This window comes from Homo sapiens, chromosome 2 (assembly GCF_000001405.40).
Source record: "Homo sapiens chromosome 2, GRCh38.p14 Primary Assembly".
Taxonomy (NCBI): Eukaryota; Metazoa; Chordata; class Mammalia; order Primates; family Hominidae; genus Homo; species Homo sapiens.
In genome coordinates, this window is record NC_000002.12 from 44,574,955 (window position 1) to 44,597,950 (window position 22,996).

At 41.6% G+C, this 22,996-nt stretch overlaps 1 protein-coding gene across 9 annotated transcripts in view, besides 2 other annotated features; it reads left to right on the plus strand.

Annotated features, from left to right (window-relative positions):
• CAMKMT (calmodulin-lysine N-methyltransferase) overlaps positions 1–22,996 on the plus strand; it is a 410,646-nt gene that overhangs the window by 213,008 nt on the left and 174,642 nt on the right. The window lies entirely within an intron of this gene.
• Positions 14,268–14,967: an enhancer, noted in NCBI's record as "NANOG-H3K27ac-H3K4me1 hESC enhancer chr2:44816361-44817060 (GRCh37/hg19 assembly coordinates)". NCBI's record gives its function as "activates a minimal SCP1, AML or CMV promoter by ChIP-STARR-seq in primed H9 embryonic stem cells {active_cell/tissue: H9 hESC(primed)}" and the evidence as "EXISTENCE:reporter gene assay evidence [ECO:0000049][PMID:30033119]".
• Positions 21,790–21,839: a silencer, noted in NCBI's record as "silent region_11432". NCBI's record gives its function as "represses an Ori minimal core promoter by ATAC-STARR-seq in GM12878 lymphoblastoid cells {active_cell/tissue: GM12878}" and the evidence as "EXISTENCE:reporter gene assay evidence [ECO:0000049][PMID:35858748]".

Below are 22,996 nucleotides of genomic sequence, written 5' to 3' on the forward strand. Positions count from 1 at the left end.
CCTGTTGGCCACACTGGTCTCGAACTCCTGACCTCAAATGATCCACCCACCTTAGCCTCCCAAAGTGCTGGGATTACATTGTGAGCCACCATGCCTGGCCATGTTTCTCCTTTTATTTATTTTTTATTTTATTTTATTTTTTGAGACAGAGTCTCACTCTGTCACCCAGGCTGGGGTGCAGTGGCGCAATCTCGGCTCACTGCAACCTCCGTCTCCCGGTTTCAAGTGATTCTCCTGCCTCGGTCTCCTGAGTAGCTGGAATTACAGGCACATACCACCACTCTCGGCTAATTTTTGTATTTTTAGTAGAGATGGGGTTTTGTCATGTTGGCCAGGCTGATCTTGAACTCCCGACCTCAAGTCATCCTCCCACCTCGGTATCCCAAAATGCTGAGATTACAGGCATGAGCCACCACGCCCAGCCCTTCTCCATTTATTTAGATATTCTTTTATATTTTCAGTAACATTGCATATTTTTCTTCACATAGGTCTTGCCCATTGTTGTTATTCTTATAAATATTCCTAAGATTTTTATCGCTATTCTTTTTTTCTGTATGGCTTTACCAAACATGACACCCTTACAGATCTTGTTCAATATTCAATCATTCATTTATTTTCCCAGAAAATATTTGTTGCCAGGTGCATTGGCTCACGCCTGTAATCTCAGCACTATGGGAGACTGAGGTAGGTGGATCTCTTGAGCTCAGGAGTTTGATACCAGCCTTGGCAACATGGCGAAACCCCATCTCTCTACTAATAATGCAAAAATTAGCTTGGCATTAGTACCAGCTATTCAGGAGGCTGAGGTGGGAGGATTGCTTGAGCTTCGGAGGTCAAGACTGCAGTCAGCCATGTAACTGCACCACTACACTCCAGTCTCGGTGACGGTGAGACCCTGTCTCAAAAAAATTTAAAAAATTGTTAAGTGCTTGTAAAGTATGAGTGAGACTCTAAGGTAGCCACTAGGCAGTCCCCTTCCTAGTGACTTATTATATCCTGATCTGGGAAATGTTGAACATAGAGAGGGCACAGGTGGTGAAACTGGTCTCAGAGAAGTTGAGAAAACATGGGTTCAAGAACGCAGGTGGGAGGCTGGGTGCAGTGGCTCACGCCTGCAATCCCAGCACTTTGGGAGGCCGAGGTGGGCAGATCACCTGAGGTCAGGAGTTCGAGACCAGCCTGGCTAACATGGTGAAACCCCATTTCTATTAAAAATACAATAAATTAGCCAGGCGTGGTGGCACATGCCTGTAATCCCAGCTACTCAGGAGGCTGAGGCAGGAGAATTGCTTGAACCCAGGAAGCAGAGGTTGCAGTGAGCCGAGATTGCGTCATTGCACTCCAGCTTGGGCAACAAGAGTGAAACTCTGTCTAAAAAAAAAAAAAAAAAAAGAAAAGAAAAAGAAAGAACACAGGTGGGAGAAAGGAGAAACAGAAGCAAAGGAAGACACAGGGAATCTGAAGTAGAGTATAGAAGTTGTGAGACATAGTGTTCAGTAGCCTCAATATATTTCAATAACTTGGGAAGCAGTCATCTGCTAAAAATGAGAGGGCAGGGACAAGTCTTCCTGGTGGAGAATAATTTGTTGTAATAAAAGCAGCTTGTTAGATTACATGAGGGTCCAGCGTGAATGTGATCAGTGGTCAAAGTCAATGTGATTTTGTGACTTACACTGATAGCATTCAGCAACCACAGGAGTAGGTGAGGACAGTGTGGTTGGTGAGATTATTCAGGTCTGAGGAGTGGCATGTTAGGATTAGTGAGAGAAAGGTCAAAAATAAAAGTAAGTGTGCTGTGGAGGCTAGAGTGCTACCATTTGCTCAGAAATAGCCTCACTTGCACAGTTTTAAAAATGCAACTCAAAAGATAATTATTGACAATTAAATAGCCCCATGGCTTCAACACTAATCATAACAAAACAAAAATACTGCAAGGAATGTTCATTCATTCCATTTTTGTGGAAAGAATACCTGTGTTAGATGCTGGAACTGTTTTCAAGGAGCTCATTTCTAAAAAATTTACTTTCTTGGACCATTTATCCAAAGAAGAAATGCCGTTTCTTCAAAGATGTGTGTTTTTCAAATCTGCACTATCTTCTGTAAGCATTCTGGTTAAATAATTCCCCAGGATAGGAAAGTCACTTTGATGCTGGTTGTACAAGGGAAATGCCATGAATTCCCAGATGCTTTTAAAATACAGGTGGGTTATAAAGACAAAGGTGATGCAACTTGTTGAATGTCTCATTTTTAAATTATAACTTTCAAAGGAGTGAAGGACTTGCCATCCCAAAATATGTCAAACTGGCATATTAATTATTTTGAAAACATTGGAGAAATTGTAGTTTCAGAAAGGGGTAGCTGACCTGCATGCAGCAAGCCATAAAGCTTCTTCTGTGGCTCATGCCTGTAATCTCAGCACTTCGGGAGGCCAAGGCAGGAAGATCGTTTAAGTTTAGGCATTAGAGACCAGCCTAGGCAACATGATGAGACCCCATCTCTACAAAAAATATGGAAATTAGCCAGGTGTGGTAGTACATGCCTATAGTGGCAGCTACCTGGGAGGCTGAGATGGGAGGATCATCTGAGTCTGAGAGGTCCAGGCTGCAGTGATCTATGATCACACCACTGCACTCCAGCCTGAGAGACAGAGTGAGACCCTGTCTCAAAAAAAATGAAAGAAAGAAAGGACGGGGAGGGGGAGAGAGAGGGAGAGGGAGAGGGAGACAGAGAGGGAGAGGGAGACGGAGAGGGAGAGGGAGATGGAGAGGGAGAATATTCCTTTGGACGAGATCCTCCCTTTACTAGAGCCAGGAAATAGCTCTTATCAACCAGAGGCTGGGAACAGGGGGCTGCAGTGGACCCAATTAAATATATTTTCCAAAGTAACCCTTATCTTCTACTAGTTTTACACCCCGCTTGTATCTCCTAGTGACTCCCCTAGGAATTTATTGCCCGTAGACAGATCGCCTTTGTCCTATCATTTCTTCTTAAGTTTATTATTCTTCATCCAAAAAGTATAAAAGCATCTTGCTTTGGCCACTTCTTCAGACTTCACTCTCTTGTGAAGATCCCCATGTACATGTAAAACTAATAAAATGTGTATGCTTTTCTCTTGTAAATCTGCCTTGTGTCAATTTGGTTTCTAGATCCAGCTGAAGGGCCCACATGAGAGCTCAGGCGGGTTGGAGGTGATCTCTCATTACCTACACGTTATATAAATTCAGCATAGGAATAATGGTTGAGGGTAAATTAACATTGTTAAAAAGAATACACCGTAACATAAAGTACTTTAACATTTATAATATGAGACCATTTATTAAAGAAAATACCATTATATAATAATGAGGCTAATAATTTCATATGGAAATAATACTGTATTAATTCGATGTATTCATACTAACAGTGAACATGATATTTTAAATTTTGCTGTCACATAATTATGCTGCTGCTTTATGAAATGTTATACTGTCACCTAGAAAAACCCTTATTTGAGTGTAGATCTGCGATCTTCAGCCTCATATGGCAGGTTGTAATGTGTTACTGAGGTATTTTTAAGTGAAGAGGTGGGAAAAACTCCTGGCTGAGTCATAAAACTGAGGATTCTTTCTTTCCTAATCTGCCTGGAGCAAAGCTGTCTAGGCTAACACTGGCCTTTAGCAAAGAACTGAAACACTTTCCTAGTTCTACAAGGCAAATTGGGTAATGGGATGTGGTATTGGGTAATGGGATGTGGTGTTAAGTTTGGAATGAGGAGATATCTTAGGGTTGTGAGTCATGGTCCGTATTATTTTTAAGTTGTTGCTTAAAAATAAAAAAGCAACAAAAAGCAATCAAAGGGAAAGTGAGAGTTAGAAGAAGTTGAAGACCAAATAATTTTGTACTAGTCAGTAAATAGTAGTATTGTGACTACAAATGACTATTTGGTACAGGCATCTTAACTCCTCAGCTCTGTTAGCACTGATTAAAAGTGAAAAAGTTGATTCATTGTGTATTGGAATAAATAATGTCTCAAAGTTTACGCAGTGGTGGAAGTGAAACCAAAATACAAAGCTCCATTTGTGACTGAAGTTTGCTAACATTTCAAGAAGTAGGTTGAAGTGACAGTGGGTAATAGGAAAAGCAGACATATTTCTTTGCCATGAGATTTTATAGCTGTCATTGGCAGTGTGTTTTCTTAAACTGATATCAGCTACCATTTATACACTTAACAATTTCTGGTCAGATTAGGGCAGAAGGTTGTGGTACCCACATATATAAAATAGTATAATAATGTTCTATTTTTTTTTTGGAACAAATTTGTTACATGAAATGTCAGATGAGTCATTTTGCTCATGTCAGGTATTTAAAAGTAATGGAAAGATGCCAACATGGAAGCCCAGTAATTCATGCGCTGGTGTAATGGAGCAAATGAAATGCAAAGCTCTTGTACAGGTCCAATTTCAGCACCAAACGCTTACCTGTCAGTCAGCAAAATTGTCCCTGAATAAAAATGAACCCCATCTGAGAGGCAAAGCATTTTAATGTACATCACATTCTTTGACTCTATTGCGAGGTAGAAGCTGCATGGAAAGAAAGAGAATGCTGTTGAAAAAGACATTTAACAGCAACCTCTGAGCATGCTGAAAATCTCACTCGCATTACTGCCCACAAAAGGTTTTTGGTTTGCCCTTTCTCTCCTGAGCTATTGACAAACTCTTGAGCATTGCTGCCCTCCCCGGCTCTGTGTCTCTTATCTACATGGAAAGGCAGCTGATTTACTCCAGACAGTGAGAGATTTGGCCACTCAGGGATGTGGAGACCAAGTTTTAGACAGGTAACTTTATTGCTGCCTGGGTGCAGCTGGGGGATGTATTTATGGACGTGACAATTAAAAGTGTGTGTTGCACAAATCGAAAGTCAGACATACCCTTGTATAAATGATTATTGTGGTCCAAAGTGACTGCCATTTCTTTTGGAAAGCCTTTCATTTGGAATCAGTTCCCAGTTTTCTATATGAGCAAGCATCTTACAGAAATGAGGTGTCCTAGTTTTTTTTAGACCCAATTCCTGTGGTTTTTAAAAAGCAAATGGGAAAGTTAAGAATTTGTGTGCTTCAGTGCCCACGCACCCAGGGATTCTTGTACCCTACCTCTAGGAGTCATGATTTGTTCTACCTTTGAAATGTCTGTTTTCCATTTCTGTGTTTTAAGACTCTAAGTGCTTATAGGAACCCAAGCAGCTATTGAAAACCAGTAATGACTAGTTCTTCTAAATGCTAATGATTGAGAATGAACTAGCAATCAGGGCTCAAAAATAAAATAAAATAAAATAAAGTAAAATAAAATAAAGTGTGCTGAATTAGAAACGATAATAATTAAATCAAGCCAAGGTGCCCTATACTTATGACTGCACTAATGCTTGAAAAATTATGAGTACAGAGAAAATTTACATAAATCCTCTTTAAATGATGTATGTGAAAAAAAAGAAAGAAGGAAAAACCATGGTCACAGGACTGAATTTATTTTAATCCCCTGGTTCAAGTGGTCCTAGAAATAATCATACTTGTATCAATCTATATTGCATGACTTTTGTAAGATGTGAAAATAGTGTTTTTCACTAAATTGTCACTTATTATTGTTCATTTAGGGCCACTAACATAGAAAAATTTCTCAGCTACAGTGTCAAAAGAATAGGGACAATTTGATGTTTTCTTTTGATGCTGTTTGTTGATATCTAGACCACTGTAGCTTGATTGCCTAACATTAAACCTATAATAACAGTGCAATCATAGCAGTATCATCATGAATGTTGTTACAATAGAAACAACATTTACACGGCTTCAGAATGGTAATTATCAAACTTTTTGTCATGAAGCGCTTATTTGCTAGCATTGATCTGCCCCGGTCAGTTGTTAGCTCTTCTCATCTGAGGTGTATTGATTGTATAATCAGTAGATAGAGGCTGTGGGCAGATGAAATTCAGTGTTGTTGGGCAAATTATCGGCTGCTTGCCTGTTGACCTGGACCCTGCTGGTTGTACCTTAGATGCTGGTGGGATTATTACTCATTTCAGTGACCCTACTTTATGACAGAGCACTCTGTATTATTATAAAAGATAAATGCCATCCTGCTTGCTGTGGTTGTGGTTGACTACACAAATGTCAGAATATAGCTAGTCTGCAAACTAGGCAGTGCAAGTATGTTTCCGATGAGATCAAAAGGAGAAATTTTCAAAGATTACCTTTTCTGAATTTGTCTCTTTGTAAGAATGTAATAACAAAAAGCCTATGTGTATCTAGCTGATGATAATAATGAAACCTTTATGTATATAGCTGTTTATCATGTGCTAAGGATTATGACAAATCACTTAATATTTTGTTTTACCAGCAAGAACACTGAAGCCGACATTAAGCTAAGCAAATGGGCTAAGATCACATGTCAATGAGCAGTAGAGCTTGGAATTAAATCTGTTTCTTCTGAATACAAGTCAAGTTTGTTATATTCTACTGCTCTGTCTTATTAGGTTATCCAGGCTGACCATTAAATATGTGTATACTGACAGATCTAAGGTTTCATCCAACTGGATTAAAAAATAAAGACCTCAATGTTACTTAAATAAATTATTGCATTGGGTAATTTTTGAGACTATTTGAGCTATTAAATAATTATAACATTCCAAAGCCCAAGGTCTAACATGGGATTACTTTTATAGACAAAATCATTTTATATAAAGAGCACTGTAAATTTTATAGCTGGTGGCTGTTTTTAAAAAATCTAGATGGTTTTTGCCGGGCGTGGTGGCTCACGCCTGTAATCCCAGCACTTTGGGAGGCTGAGGCGGGTGGATCACAAAGTCAGGAGTTCGAGACCAGCCTGGCCAATATGGTGAAACCCCATCTCTACTAAAAGTACACATATTAGCCAGGCGTGGTGCCGCGCGCCTGTAGTCCCAGCTATTTGGGAGGCTGAGGCAGATGAATCGCTTGAACCATGGAGGCAGAGGTTGCAGTGAGCCAAGATCGTGCCGCTGCACTCCAGGCTGGGCAACAAAGCGAGACTCCGTCTCAAAAACAAAAACAAAAACTAGATGGTTTTAACAGAATGTTTTGTTTATATGAAAAAATTCTCAAACGTTATTTATGTTACCATGTCCTATTTTCCTTGTACTTTAGGATCATTCTATCCATCGTAGGTAAGTACAGGATGGCATCACATCCTAATACCTAAACCGGGCCTTTCTGAAACTACATGGAAGAACAGAAAGAATGTCTTTAGTCTATTTTGACATTTAGATTGCTTCACAAATACATATATGTGAACTTGACAGTGTTCACAGTGTCATTTTTGCTCTTTCTCTCTGAAAAGAAAAGAGCATAAAAAGGATGTACCTCACTAACAGTGCAATGCCATAAAAATATTAATGTTTTGGTGCTGATCATTCAAATTCCCAAATAGTAAAATAGATGAAGCGATACTTAAACATAATTCTCCATTTCTAAATGCACTCAGTTGTGCCTGGTAAGCTGTCTCATTCTTTCTGCCAACTTCTGGGCCATTGTTTTATAAAGGTCAGTGGTTACCTGCTCATTGTATTTTAAAGGCACACTCACAGCACATAGTCCAATAAGCAAGTCCAGCAATACCACATTCCTCTTTGGTCTTAAATTCTGCAGCTGTTGAATCATGATTGGGCAATGATTTTTTTTCCTCCTAGTTAACTACTTTATGTTCTTACTTTTAAAAGACTAAGTGACTGATCTCTTACCCAAAATGTTGGAGGAGATAATGGGTGGAGTACATGAAAGTTACATGCAGAGGTGGCTTAGAGTTGAGATATTTAGTAGTTTCCCTCTCTGTGAATACCAGAAAACACAGCTGTTTGAGTACTCCCTTAACATTGCTTACCTAAGCAGGGGAAATAACTAAGAAAGTGACTCCCAGTTTCTAGCATTGTAAGCTTTTCGAGAGAAGCCTAAATTTGTGTGTATATTCCTTTCCTTTATCTTTTGGCTGCTGAAATACATACTATCAGCATAGTATTTCAACAAAAATGATGATCTTTTTTGGAAATTCGAATTGTTCTGATACTCCCCACAAAAAACCCTTAAAATACATATAATACATAATAGTCATTATTTGGGTATTGATCCTATTATACTGTTAGCTCTTCACATCTGACCTATTTTAGTATTTCCTGCATTGCTCACTACTATGCTTTGTGTATAGAAGGAGCTTTATTGATTAAAATGGACTGGATATTCATTCAACAAGTATCTATTGGATGCCTACTAGCTATGAGGCATGGTGGGAGCCATCAGATACAGTAATCAATGAGCAAGACACACACACAGTCCCTGCTCTCAAAGAGCTCATGATGAGAAAGATGTAAGACAGGCATTAAGTGACCAGTTACATAATTTTTAATGCAAGTTTTACCTTAATATTATATGCTTAAATAAAATTCAGGATGTTAGAGGATTCTTCAATAAGAAATCAGATCAAGTTTATGCTTCTCCAGGACAGGGACCTTTAAAAATCAACACTTAAAACTCAATTTTTTGCACTTAAAAATAAAATGAGGCTGAGGACCATGGCTCACCCTATAATCCCAGCACTTTGGGAGGCTGAGACAAGAAGGTTTCTTAAGACCAGGAGTTTGAGACCAGCTTAGGCTGGTCTCATAGGGAGATTCTGTCTCTACAAAAAATAAAAAAATAGCTGGGCATGGTGGCACACGCCTGTAGTCCTAGCTACTTGGGAGGGTGAGGGGGAAGGATGGCTTGAGCCCAGAAGTTCAAGGCTGCAGTGAGCTATGTTTGAGCCACAGCACCGCATCCTGGGCAACAGATCAAGACCCTGTCTCTGAAAAGAAGAAAGAAAGAAAAAAGAAGGAAGGAAGGAGACAAAAAATAAAATGCACACATTGCAAGTGTACATTTCAATGAATTTAGACAAGTGTATACAAATATCCATATGTGAGTGAATAGGTAGAGATGAGTATATATGTATGTATAAGCATATACATATATAACTGTATACATACCCACACATCCCCTCATTCAACATACAGGATATTTACATGACCCAGAAAGCTTCCTTTGTGCTCTTTCCTTGAGTACAACTCATCATTTTCCCCAGGCTCCTGGATTGTTTTTCGAGTTTCAGATAAATGAAATCACATAGTATGTACTCTGTGTCTGACTTCTTTTGCTCAGCCTGATGTTTCTGAGATCCATCCATGTTCTTATGTGTATCACTGGTGTTTTCCTTATTATTACTGATTAGCATTTTATTTTATAGATACACCACAATTTATTTATTCATTTATCCACTGACTGACAAAAATAAACCTTAATTTATTGCTCATAAGGTAAGATGAAAGAAGTGGTACATTTTTATTTATGAGCTGTGAAAATGTACTAGAGGACCTGGGATATTACCTTATATTCACCACATATGAATAGTGTTGGCCCACACTGAAGTAATTTTTATCCCCAAATGAGCTATAAAGACATGTCCCACCTGAAAAAACAGTTTCATTGATAATTTATGGATAATATAAAATGCTTCCTAAGTTGTTGAGTAGAATGCTGAACTAACAGGTAAAACACTAAAATTAATCTGATTCTGTGTATTGTGGGCTACTTACAGAATGCAACAATTATTTTTGGAATTCAAATTCAAGTCAAAAAATATTTATGAATGTCTGCTATACATAAAGCATGGTATTCAGTTCTATAAGGCAATAGAAGATAAGCAAGATGGAGTTCCTTCCTTGGAGGTCTAGTGGCCTAAAGTGGGAAATTGGGTGTCTGCATGAAATAATTAAAAAAAATAGTAGGCCGGGTGCGGTGGCTCACACCTGTAATCCCAGCACTTTGGGAGGCTGAAGCGGGTGGATCACGAGGTCAGGAGATCAAGACTATCCTGGCTAACGTGGTGAAACCCTGTCTCTACTAAAAATACAAAAAAATTATCCGGGCGTGGTGGTGGGCGCCTGTAGTCCCAGCTACTTGGGAGGCTGAGGCAGGAGAATGACATGAACCCACGAGGCGGAGGTTGCAGTGAGCCGAGATCGCACCACTGCACTCCAGCCTGGGTGACAGAGCGAGACTCCGTCTGAAAAAAAAAAAAATGTAAAAAGGCTTGTTGATTAAACCAAAGTAGTTTTAGTGCCCAGCTTTTTAAAAGGGGAGTAAATTATACCTCCTATAAGCCAGTCAAGTTAATTTTGATACCTTTAAAGATTCTGCACTAGATGAAATCATTGAACAATCAATTAGTCACCACATAGGAGAGCATGAAGCACTGGGTAGTCACTGTCTTGGCTTTGCAAAGAGCAAATTGTACCAGATCGATTTAATTTCCTTCATGAAGAGATTGACAGTTTATACATACATTTAGGAAGCAATTCAGCTGAACTTCAGAAAGGATTTTGATTCAGCCACACATGACATTTTAGCACTAACTCAAAGGATGTGGTGTAGGCCAGACCATATTCCTGTAGGAAGTGGCCTGCTTCTCTGGGGGGTTATATTTGAAAAGTGTTATGAAGGGCTTAGTGTCAACCATGAATCTTGTTTTATAAATACATATCCAAATGCTGGAGTTATTCTGAATTTCTGTGTCATGCATAAATAATTGAAAATAAACTCATATGTTGGCAAAGGAAAACCTTGATATGAGTACTCTGGAAGATTGTTATAGATTAAATGAAATGATCTTAAACCATAAAAGTGACAATTGTGTACTTTATGAAGGGCTGTAAGATCAAGTTCAAGTAACATGCTATGGTGATCCTACGCTTTACCAAAGATAGATGGAAGATGGGAACAGCTAGGCCATAAATAAGACAAGAGACTTAGGAGTCATAGTGGAATTCAATCCATATATTGCTGATCAATTCTGTGTTATTATTTATAAACAATGCATAATTTTAGAGTGTGTAAAGGGGAATATGATTTGCAAGCATATGGAGCCCAAAGGTCGTTACTCTGCAATAGTCAATTTTAATCACAACTCTCAGACTGTTCTAATTTTACACTACAGGGAAGCTAGAGGGTCCAGAGAAAAACATTCTAAATATACAAGAAGATAAATAAATGTTTCTTTAAAGTTCAGACTAGAGAAGAGAGACCACTCTTCAAATCGTACAGAGGTATGTACAGAGGTACGATTTGCCTATTCTGTTTGGAAACAGAATAGGCAGCCTTCTGCCCAAGGTGGCATAGGTGTTAAAGGCTTGGTTTAGTTTAAGGGTTCCAAAATCTGATAGGGTTTCAGGATCACTTGGATAGAATTTTTTGAAACACAGCTTTATTGAAGTATAATTGATTTGCTATACATTGCACGTATCTCAAGTGTACAATTTGATAAGTTTTAACATATGTATATATATATATATGTTAAAAGGATTCCCTATTTAATGAAACTATTACCACAATCAAAATAATGAACATATTTATCACCCCCAAAAGTTTTCCCCTGCTCTTTTGTAGTCCTTCCTACCCTTCCCTAGGCAAATATTATCTGCTTTCTCTCACTATAGATTCATTTTCATTTTCTAGCATTTATGTAAATAGAAGCAAACAAATTGTATTCTTTTTCATCAGGCTTCTTTCACTCAGCATAACTATTTTGAGCATGCTTTCACTCAGCATAATTATTTATATTTAATTCTTGCATATTGTAGTGTGTTTGAGTCTTCCATTCCTTTTTTATTGCTGAGTAGTATTCTGTTGTGTGCAGTTATATGCAGTATATTTATCCATTTATCCATTGATGGACATTTGGGTTGTTTCCAGCTTTGGGTTATTATATATAAAGCTGTTGTGACATTTATGTAGAATCTTTTATTTAGACATATGCTCTTATTTTTCTAGAGTAAATACATAGGAGTAGAAATGCTTAGATCATGTGGTAGGTATATGTTTAACTTTTAAAGAAACTGCCAAACTGTTTTCCAGAGGGGTGGTTCTATTTTACATTGCCAGCAGCAGCATGGGAAAGGTCTGTCAACACTTGGTTGGTGAGTCCTTTCCATTTTAGTCATTCTAGTAGATGTATTAGAATCTCATTGTGGTTTTAATTTAAACTTCTCAAATGATCATCTTTTCATTGCTTATTTGTCATCTATGTATCTTCTTTGGTTGAGTGTGTATTCAGGATTTTTTTTGCCCACTGTTAAATTTGATAATTTGTTTTCTTGTTATTGAATTTTGAGAATTCTTTATTCTGAATACAAGTCCTTTAGCAGATTCTGATGAGAACTGCATTGAATCAATAGCTTAATTTGGGAAGAAGTGACTTCTTAACAATACTGAGTCTTCTAATCAATGGACATGGCAGATTTTGCTGTTATTTTAAATTTTAAACTTCTTTCAGCAATATTTTGCAATTTTCAAAGTACAGGTTTTACATATCTTTTGTCAGATTTACCCCTAAGAATTGTATATTTTTTAATGCTATTGTAAATTTTATTTAAAAAATTTTTAGCTCTCCCTCTCCCTCCCCCTCCCCCTCCCCCTGTCCCTCTCCCTCTCCGTCTCCCTCTCTCTCCACGGTCTCCTTCCACGGTCTCCCTCTGATGCCGAGCCAAAGCTGGACGGTACTGCTGCCATCTCGGCTCACTGCAACCTCCCTGCCTGATTCTCCTGCCTCAGCCTGCCGAGTGCCTGCGATTGCAGGCGCGCGCCGCCACGCCTGACTGGTTTTCCTTTTTTTTTTTTGGTGGAGACGGGGTTTTGCTGTGTTGGCCGGGCTGGTCTCAGCTCCTGACCGCGAGTGATCCGCCAGCCTCGGCCTCCCGAGGTGCTGGGATTGCAGACGGAGTCTCGTTCACTCAGTGCTCAATGGTGCCCAGGCTGGAGTGCAGTGGCGTGATCTCGGCTCGCTACAACCTCCACCTCCCAGCCGCCTGCCTTGGCCCCCCAAAGTGCCGAGATTGCAGCCTCTGCCCGGCCGCCACCCCGTCTGGGAAGTGAGGAGCGTCTCTGCCTGGTCCCCCATCGTCTGGGATATGAGGAGCCTCTCTGCCTGGCTGCCCAGTCTGGAAAGTGAGGAGCGTCTCTGCCCGGCCGCCATCCCATCTAGGAAGCGAGGAGCGCCTCTTCCCCGCCGCCCATCGTCTGAGATGTGGGGAGCGCCTCTGCCCCGCCGCCCTGTCTGGGATGTGAGGAGCACCTCTGCTGGGCCGCAACCCTGTCTGGGATGTGAGGAGCGCCTCTGCCCGGCCGCCCCGTCTGAGAAGTGAGGAAACCCTCTGCCTGGCAACCGCCCCGTCTGAGAAGTGAGGAGCCCCTCCGTCCGGCAGCCACCCCGTCTGGGAAGTGAGGAGCGTCTCCGCCCGGCAGCCACCCCGTCCGGGAGGGAGGGGGGGGGTCAGCCCCCCGCCCGGCCAGCCGCCCCGTCCGGGAGGGGAGGGGCTCCTCTGCCCGGCCGCGCCTACTGGGAAGTGAGGAGCCCCTCTGCCCGGCCAGCCGCCCCGTCCGGGAGGGGGGGGTCAGGCCCCTGCCCGGCCAGCCGCCCCGTCCGGAGGGAGGTGGGGGGGTCAGACTCCCTCCCGGCCGGCCGCCCCGTCCGGGAGGTGAGGGGCGCCTCTGCCCGGCCGCCCCTACCGGGAAGTGAGGACCCCTCTGCCCGGCCAGCCGCCCCGTCCAGGAGGGAGGTGGGGGGTCAGCCCCCCGCCCGGCCAGCCGCCCAGTCCGGGAGGGAGGTGGGGGGTCAGCCCCCCGCCCGGCCAGCCGCCCAGTCCGGGAGGGAGGTGGGGGGATCAGCCCCCCGCCTGGCCAGCCGCCCCGTCCGGGAGGTGAGGGGCGCCTCTGCCCGGCTGCCCCTACTGGGAAGTGAGGACCCCACTGCCCGGCCAGCCGCCCCGTCCGGGAGGGAGGTGGGGGGGGTCAGCCCCCCGCCCGGCCAGCCGCCCAGTCCGGGAGGGAGGTGGGGGGTCAGCCCCCGACCCGGCCATCCGCCCCGTCCGGGAGGGAGGTGGGGGGATCAGCCCCCCGCCTGGCCAGCCGCCCCGTCCGGGAGGTGAGGGGCGCCTCTGCCCGGCTGCCCATTCTGGGAGGGAGGTGGGGGGGTCAGCCCCCCGCCCGGCCGGCCGCCCCATCCGGGAGGTGAGGGGCGCCTCTGCCCGGCCGCCCCTACTGGGAAGTGAGGAGCCCCTCTGCCTGGCGAGCCGCCCCGTCTGGGAGGGTGGTGGGGGGGTCAGCCCCCCGCCTGGCCAGCCGCCCTATCCAGGAGGTGAGGGGCGCCTCTGCCCGGCCGCCCCTACTGGGAAGTGAGGAGCCCCTCTGCCTGGCCAGCCGCCCCGTCCGGGAGGGTGGTGGGGGGGTCAGCCCCCCGCCTGGCCAGCCGCCCCATCCGGGAGGTGAGGGGCGCTTCTGCCCGGCCGCCCCTACTGGGAAGTGAGGAGCCCCTCTGCCCGGCCACGACCCCGTCTGGGAGGTGTGCCCAGCGGCTCATTGGGGATGGGCCATGATGACAATGGCGGTTTTGTGGAATAGAAAGGCGGGAAGGGTGGGGAAAAAATTGAGAAATCGGATGGTTGCCGGGTCTGTGTGGATAGAAGTAGACATGGGAGACTTTTCATTTTGTTCTGTACTAAGAAAAATTCTTCTGCCTTGGGATCCTGTTGATCTGTGACCTTATCCCCAACCCTGTGCTCTCTGAAACATGTGCTGTGTCCACTCAGGGTTACATGGATTAAAGGCGGTGCAAGATGTGCTTTGTTAAACAGATGCTTGAAGTCAGCATGCTCGTTAAGAGTCGTGTCACCACTCCCTAATCTCAAGTACCCAGGGACACAAACACTGCGGAAGGCCGCAGGGTCCTCTGCCTAGGAAAACCAGAGACCTTTGTTCACTTGTTTATCTGCTGACCTTCCCTCCACTATTGTCCTATGACCCTGCCAAATCCCCCTCTGCGAGAAACACCCAAGAATGATCAATAAAAAAAAAAAAGAAAAAAAAAAAAGAACGAAAAAAAAAAAATTTTAATTTCCAATAGTTTGTTGCTGGTATATAGAAATACAACTGTTATTTGTGTATTGACCTTGTGTCCTGCAACCTCACTCAACATACTTGTTAGTTCTAGTCAGTTTTCTGTACATTCCATCAAATTTTCCACATGGACGGTCATGTTGTCTGCTAATATTGACATTCCTTTCCCATCTAGATGCCTTTTATTTCTTTTCTTCCCATACTGCATTGGCTAGAACCTCTAGTATAGTGTTTAATAGAAGCAGCAACAGAGAATATCTATGTCTATGGGGGATATTGGTCTGTAGTCTTCTCTTTGTCTTTGTCTGGTTTTTGTATTGGAGTAATGCTTTCTTCATTAAGTAAGTCAGAAAATATTCTTCCTTTTCAGTTTTCTCAAAGAGTTTGAGAAAGAATTGGTGTTATTTCTCCTTCAATATTTGGTAGAATTCACCAGTAAGCCAGCTAGGCCTAGAATTTTCTTTGTGGGAAAGTTTTTAAACTACAAATTTCTGACTTTTTAATGATTGCCATTCTATCTGGCGTGAGATGGTATCTCATTGTGGTTTTGATTTGCATTTCTCTGATGGCCAGTGATGGTGAGCATTTTTTCATGTGTTTTTTGGCTGCATAAATGTCTTCCTTTGAGAAGTGTCTGTTCATGTCCTTCACCCACTTTTTGATGGGGTTGTTTGTTTTTTTCTTGCAAATTTGAGTTCATTGTATATTCTGGATATTAGCCCTTTGTCAGATGAGTAGGTTGTGAAAATTTTCTCCCATTTTATGGGTTGCCTGTTCACTCTGATGGTAGTTTCTTTTGCTGTGCAGAAGCTCTTTAGTTTAATGAGATCCCATTTGTCAATTTTGGCTTTTGTTGCCATTGCTTTTGGTGTTTTAGACATGAAGTCCTTGCCCATGCCTATGTCCTGAATGGTAATGCCTAGGTTTTCTTCTAGGGTTTTTATGGTTTTAGGTCTAACGTTTAAGTCTTTAATCCATCTTGAATTAATTTTTGTATAAGGTGTAAGGAAGGGATCCAGTTTCAGCTTTCTACATATGGCTAGCCAGTTTTCCCAGCACCATTTATTAAATAGGGAGTCCTTTCCCCATTGCTTATTTTTCTCAGGTTTGTCAAAGATCAGATAGTTGTAGATATGTGGCGTTATTTCTGAGGGCTGTGTCCTGTTCCATTGATCTATATCTCTGTTTTGGTACCAGTACCGTGCTGTTTTGGTTACTGTAGCCTTGTAGTATAGTTTGAAGTCAGGTAGTGTGATGCCTCCAGCTTTGTTCTTTTGGCTTAGGATTGACTTGGCAATGTGGGCTCTTTTTTGGTTCCATATGAACTTTAAAGTAGTTTTTTCCAATTCTGTGAAGAAAGTCATTGGTAGCTTGATGGGGTTGGCATTGAATCTATAAATTACCTTGGGCAGTATGACCATTTTCACGATATTGATTCTTCCTACCCATGAGCATGGAATGTTCTTCCATTTGTTTGTATCCTCTTTTATTTCATTGAGCAGTGGTTTGTAGTTCTCCTTGAAGAGGTCCTTCACGTCCCTTGTAAGTTGGATTCCTAGGTATTTTATTCTCTTTGAAGCAATTGTGAATGGGAGTTCACTCATGATTTGGCTCTCTGTTTGTCTGTTATTGGTGCTGGAGAGGATGTGGAGAAATAGGAACACTTTTACACTGTTGGTGGGACTGTAAACTAGTTCAACCATTGTGGAAGTCAGTGTGGCGATTCCTCAGGGATCTAGAACTAGAAATACCATTTGACCCAGCCATCCCATTACTGGGTATATACCCAAAGGACTATAAATCATGCTGCTATAAAGACACATGCACACGTATGTTTATTGCGGCACTATTCACAATAGTAAAGACTTGGAACCAACCCAAATGTCCAACAGTGATAGACTGGATTAAGAAAATGTGGCACATATACACCATGGAATACTATGCAGCCATAAAAAATGATGAGTTCATGTCCTTTGTAGGAACATGGATGAAATTGGAAATCATCATTCTCAGTAAAGTATCACAAGAACAAAAAACCAAACACCGCATATTCTCACTCATAGGTGGGAATTGAGCAATGAGAACACATGGACACAGGAAGGGGAACATCACACTCTGGGGACTGTTGTGGGGTGGGGGGAAGGGGGAGGGATAGCATTAGGAGATACACCTAATGCTAAATGACGAGTTAATGGGTGCAGCACACCAGCATGGCACATGTATACATATGTAACTAACCTGAATATTGTGCACATGTACCCTAAAACTTAAAGTATAATAATAATAATAAATAAATAAATAAACTACGAATTCATTTTTTTTATGGGTACTGCAATATTCAGGTTATTTCTTCTTGAATAATCTTTGATAGTTGGTGTCTTTCAAAGAACTTGTGCCTTCCATTTCATCTAAGTTGTCAAACTTACTGGCATAATGTTATTTATAATTTTCCTTTATTATCTTTTTACCATCTATAGAATCTATAGTGATGCCATCTTTCTTATTTCTTACATTGGTCATTTTTGTCTTTTCTATAGCTGTCTTGGTTATCAGATTAATGGTCCTCAGTGCTTGGGTTCAAGTAACCCTTATTTTACTTAATAATGGCCCCAAAGTGCAAGACCAACGATGCTGGCATATTGTTATAATTGTTCTGTTTTATTATGTTATTATTGTTAATCTCTTATACTATGCCTAATTTTTAAAGTAAACTTTATCATAGGTATGTAAGTATAGGAAAAAACATAGTATATACAGGGTTCAGTCCTATCTGCGATTTCAGGCATCCACTAGGACCTTGGCTTGTATCCCCCAAGGATAAGGGAGGACTACTGTACTTTGTGATCAGAGAACATATTTTGCATGGCTTAAATCTTTTTAAGTGTATTGTTTTGTGGCCTAGAATATGGTCTAGCTTGGTAAAGCTTCAACTGGCATTTCAGAATACTGTATTCAGCTCTATTGGGTGGTGTGTTCTATAAATGTCAATTAAGTTGGTTGGTAATGTTATTCAAGCCTTCTATGTCCTTACTGGTTTCTGTATACTTGTTATATCAATTATAACATGTTAAAATCTCTGACTATAATGATAAGTATTTATAATAAATATTCTTGAGTTTTGTTTTGTGAAGCAGATGTGTTACTGGGAAACAGCTTGATCCTTTCAGATCTTGCTTTTAAGATTTGTTAGGTGGGACCAGCAATATTTATGTAGGGCAAATTTTTCCACACCACTGAGGCAAAACTCTTTTGTGTACTCAACTCAATGTTCAATGCATTAAGAAGTTTTTCTTGTCAGACTGGCAGAAACATGCACAATTTCCAGTTCTTTGTGAACACTGGATACTATTTCCTTTAATCCTTTCTGATAGGTCTTTCCCTGGCCTCCTGTAGTTTTCTCAGATACATGTGCTTATCAATACTCTGATGAATACTCAAAGGGAGGCATTTTTCAGATATGCTGGGTTCTAACTCTTTGCAGCTCTGTACTCTCTGATACTCTGTCCTTTGAACTCTAGCCACATTGTTTTTTCCAGACTTTCAACTCTGGTACTCTGCAGGGCTCCATTTGGGTTCCCTGTCCCAATGCCACAGCCCGGAATCTCTCTTAAACTTGAGATAATTGTTGGACTCACTCACCTCATTTGTATTCTGTCTCCCAGGGATAACTGTCCTTCCTGCCTCCTGCCCACTGTCTTGAATACCATAGTTTCATTTATTATATTTGATTTGTAGTTGTTTTAGGTGAGGGAGTAAATCTAGTCACTGTTGCTCCAACTTGAATAAAAGCAGAAGTCTCCCTGGGGAATTTTTGAAAAAGACAACTTCCTTTTTTTTTTTTTTTTTGAGGCGGAATTTTGATCTTTTTGCCCAGGCTGGAGTGCAATGGCGTGATCTCAGCTCACCACAACCTCTGCCTCCCGGGTTCAAGCGATTCTCCTGCCTCAGCCTCCCAAGTAGCTGGGACTACAGGCATGTACCACCACGCCTGGCTAATTTGGTATTTTTAGTAGGGATGGGGTTTCTCTGTGTTGGTCAGGCTGGTCTCGAACTCCCCACCTCAGGTGATCTGCCCACCTCAGCCTCCAAAAGTGCTGGGATTACAGGCGTGAGCCACCATGCCTGGCAATTGCTACAAAGAGAATAAAATACCTAGGAATACAACTTACAAGGGTTGTGAAGGACCTCTGCAAGGAGAACTACAAATCACTGCTCAAGGAAATGAGAGGACACAAACAAATGGAAAAACATTCCATGCTCATGGATAGGAAGAGTCAATATTGTGAAAATGGCCATACTGCCCGAAGTAATTTATAAATTCAATGCTATCCCCATCAAGCTACCATTGACTTTCTTCACAGAATTGGAAAAAACTACTTTAAATTTCATATGGAACCAAAAAAGAGCCCGTATAGCCAAGACAATCCTAAGCAAAAAGAACAAAGCTGGAAGCATCACGCTACCTGACTTCAAACTACGCTACAAGGCTGCAGTAACCAAAACAGCATGGTACTGGTACCAAAACAGATATATAGACCAATGGAACAAAACAGAGGCCTCAGAAATAACACCACACATCTAAAACCATCTGATCTTTGACAAACCTGACAGAAACAAGCAATGGGGAAAGGATTCCCTATTTAATAAATGGTGCTGGGAAAACTGGCTAGCCATATGCAGGAAGCTGAAACTGGATCCCTTCCTTACACCTTAGACAAAAATTAACTCAAGATGGATTAAAGACTTAAATGTAAGACCTAAAACCATAAAAACCCTAGAAGAAAACCTAGGCAATGCCATTCAGGACATAGGCATGGGCAAAGACTTTATGACTAAAACACCAAAAGCAATGGCAACAAAATCCAAAATTGACAAGTGGGATCTAATTAAATGAAAGAGCTTCTGCACAGCAAAAGAAACTATCATCAGAGTGAACAGGCAACCTACAAAATGGGAGAAAACTTTTGCAATCTATCCATCTGACAAAGGGGTGATATCCAGAATCTACAAAGAACTTAAATTTACAAGAAAAAAACAACCCCATCAAAAAGTGGGTGAAGGATATGAACGGACGCCTGTCAAAAGAAGACGTTTATGCAGCCAGCAAACATGAAAAAAGCTCATCATCACTGTTCATTAGAGAAATGCAAATCAAAACCGCAATGAGATACCATCTCATGCCAGTTAGAATGGTGATCATTAAAAAGTCAGGAAACAACAGATGCTGGAGAGGATGTGGAGAAATAGGAACACTTTTACACTGTTGGTGGGAGGGTAAATTAGTTCAACCATTGTGGAAGACAGTGTGGCAATTCACCAAGGATCTGGTACTAGAAATACCATTTGACCCAGCAATCCCGTTACTGGGTATATACCCAAAGGATTATAAATGAACTCCCGACCGCAGGTGATCTGCCCGCCTCAGCGTCCAAAGTGCTGGGATTACAGGCGTGAGCCACCATGCCTGGCAATTGCTACAAAGAGAATAAAATACCTAGGAATACAACTTATAAGGACCTCTTCAAGGAGAGCTACAAACCACTGCTCAAGGAAATAAAAGAGGACACAAACAAATGGAAAAACATTGCATGCTCATGGATAGGAAGAATCAATATTGTGAAAATGACCATACTGCCCAAAGTAATTTATAGATTCAGTGCTATCCCCATGAAGCTACCATTGACTTTCTTCACAGAATTGGAAAAAGCTACTTTAAAGTTTAAAAAACTACTATAAAGACACATGCACATGTATGTTTATTGCGGCACTGTTCACAATAGCAAAGACTTGGAACCAACCTAAATGCCCATGAATCATAGACTGGATAAATGAAATGTGGCACATATACACCATGGAATAGTATGCAGCTGTAAAAAAGGATGAATTCATGTCCTTTGCAGGGACATGGATGAAGCTGGAAACCATCATTCTCAGCAAACTAACACAAGAAGAGAAAACCAAACACTGCATGTTCTCACTCGTAAGTGGGAGCTGAACAATGAGAACACATGAACATGGGGCTGGGGGGGCATCACACACTGGGGCCTGATGGGAGGTGGGGGACTGGGGGAGGAGTAGCATTAGGAGAAATACCTAATGTAGATGATGGGTTGATGGGTGCAGCAAACCACCATGGCACGTATATACCTATGTAACAAACCTGCATGTTCTGCACATGTACCCCAGAACTTATAATTTAAAAAAAAAAAAAGAAAGAAAAAGACGAATTCTTGGCTGGACACAGTGGCTCACACCTGTAATCCAAGCACTTTGGGAGGACGAGGTAGGTGGATCACTTCAGGTCAGGAGTTCGAGACCAGCCTGGCCAACATGGTGAAACCCTGTCTCTACCAAAAAATACAAAAATTAGCTGGCGTGGTGGTATGTGCCTGTAGTCCCAGCTACTTGGGAGGCTGAGATGGGAGAATTGCTTAAACCCTGGAGGCGGAGGTTGCAATGAACTAAACATGTGCCACTGCACTCCAGGCTGGGTAACAGAGCGAGACTCTGTCTCAAAAAAAGAAAAAAGAAAAAAAAGAAAAGAAAGAAAAAGACAAATTCTTACATCCATCACAGACCTACTGAAACCCAGTCTGTGGATGAATCCAGAAATCTCTAACAAGCCCCCCATCTGATTCTGTAGTACACACATTTTAGAACCACTGATTTGATCAAATGTAATCTCTTAAAGTCCAGTCCAATTCATCAAGCAGCCAAGGCAGTGGCATCTCTCAAGAGACAATGAGGTCATGATCAGTTTCTCAGTTTCAACTTTGAATTGTGCTTGCATCATCACAGACCTACACCAGTGAACCGTGGAAATCTCACCCCGAGAAAATCCCAGGCAAAAAACTCTGTCAGGAGACTACTGGTTATAAAAATTCTAAGGTTTACTCAGTCATTAAAATTATGCATATATAATAGATTCCTTTCTATTTTCATTGCCAACAGAAAATTGAACATTTGCTTCAACCTTCATGAAATCAAAACTTAGAGAAAAACGATCTTTTTATAAGGAAAATGAGTTATTCCATGTTACTAATTAGATCTTAGCTGTTAAATTTTGGAATGATTAAAATCCTTTTCAATAATTGCAAAATTTGCTTTGATAAAGTCACCCTAGAAGTTGATTATGCAGTGTAGTTTCAAGTTCGTCATGTTGTCTTCTTGGGGACAGCTTTCTGTCTGGGGGTGTCAGTAGTGGCAATCCCCTAAGTGCATGATGGTTGTTGGGTTGATGTAGCCACAAAAGATTTGATAAACTGTGATATGACTGCTTTTATACAGGTCCAACTTCCACATAGACTAGTTAACTCTCTATATAACTAAGTTCCGTCCTTGGCAGATGGATTAATTTGTGAATAATGAATTTCCCTTAGCTACCTCCATACTTCCATTTTGGTTTACTAAATATAGAATCATTTAAGAAATCTGTCCATAATTATTTCCAGTGAATCCACAATTAATAATAACATCAGCCAGTGATATACCAACTTACACAGGGAGCATGTCACATTCTGAACTCTTTGTCAATCCTAATTTACATTCCAGTGAAAATGTGGTAGATGGTGTGTAAGTATGCATATTATAATCCCTTTAGCTCAGAGGTTCTTAACCCTTGCTGTGTCATGAGCCCCTTTGGTATCTTGTGATTCTGCTTATGGATCCCTTCTCAAAATAATGTTACAAGTGTGTTAAATAAAATCCAAAAAGCAATTACATTGAAATACAGTTATCAAAATATGTTTAAAATACAATTGTGGTATAGTAACATATATGCTTCCTTATTATTTTTTGTTTGTTTGTTTGTTTGTCTGTTTTGAGATGGAGTCTTGCTCTTCACCTGGGCTGGAGTGCAGTGGTGCGATCTCAGCTCACTGCAACCTTCACCTCCCTGGTTCAAGCGATTCTCCTGCCTCAGCCTCCTGAGTAGCTGGGATTACAGGCATGCACCACCACCCTGGGCTAATTTTTGTGTTTTTAGTAGAGACGGGGTTTCACCATGTTGGTCAGGCT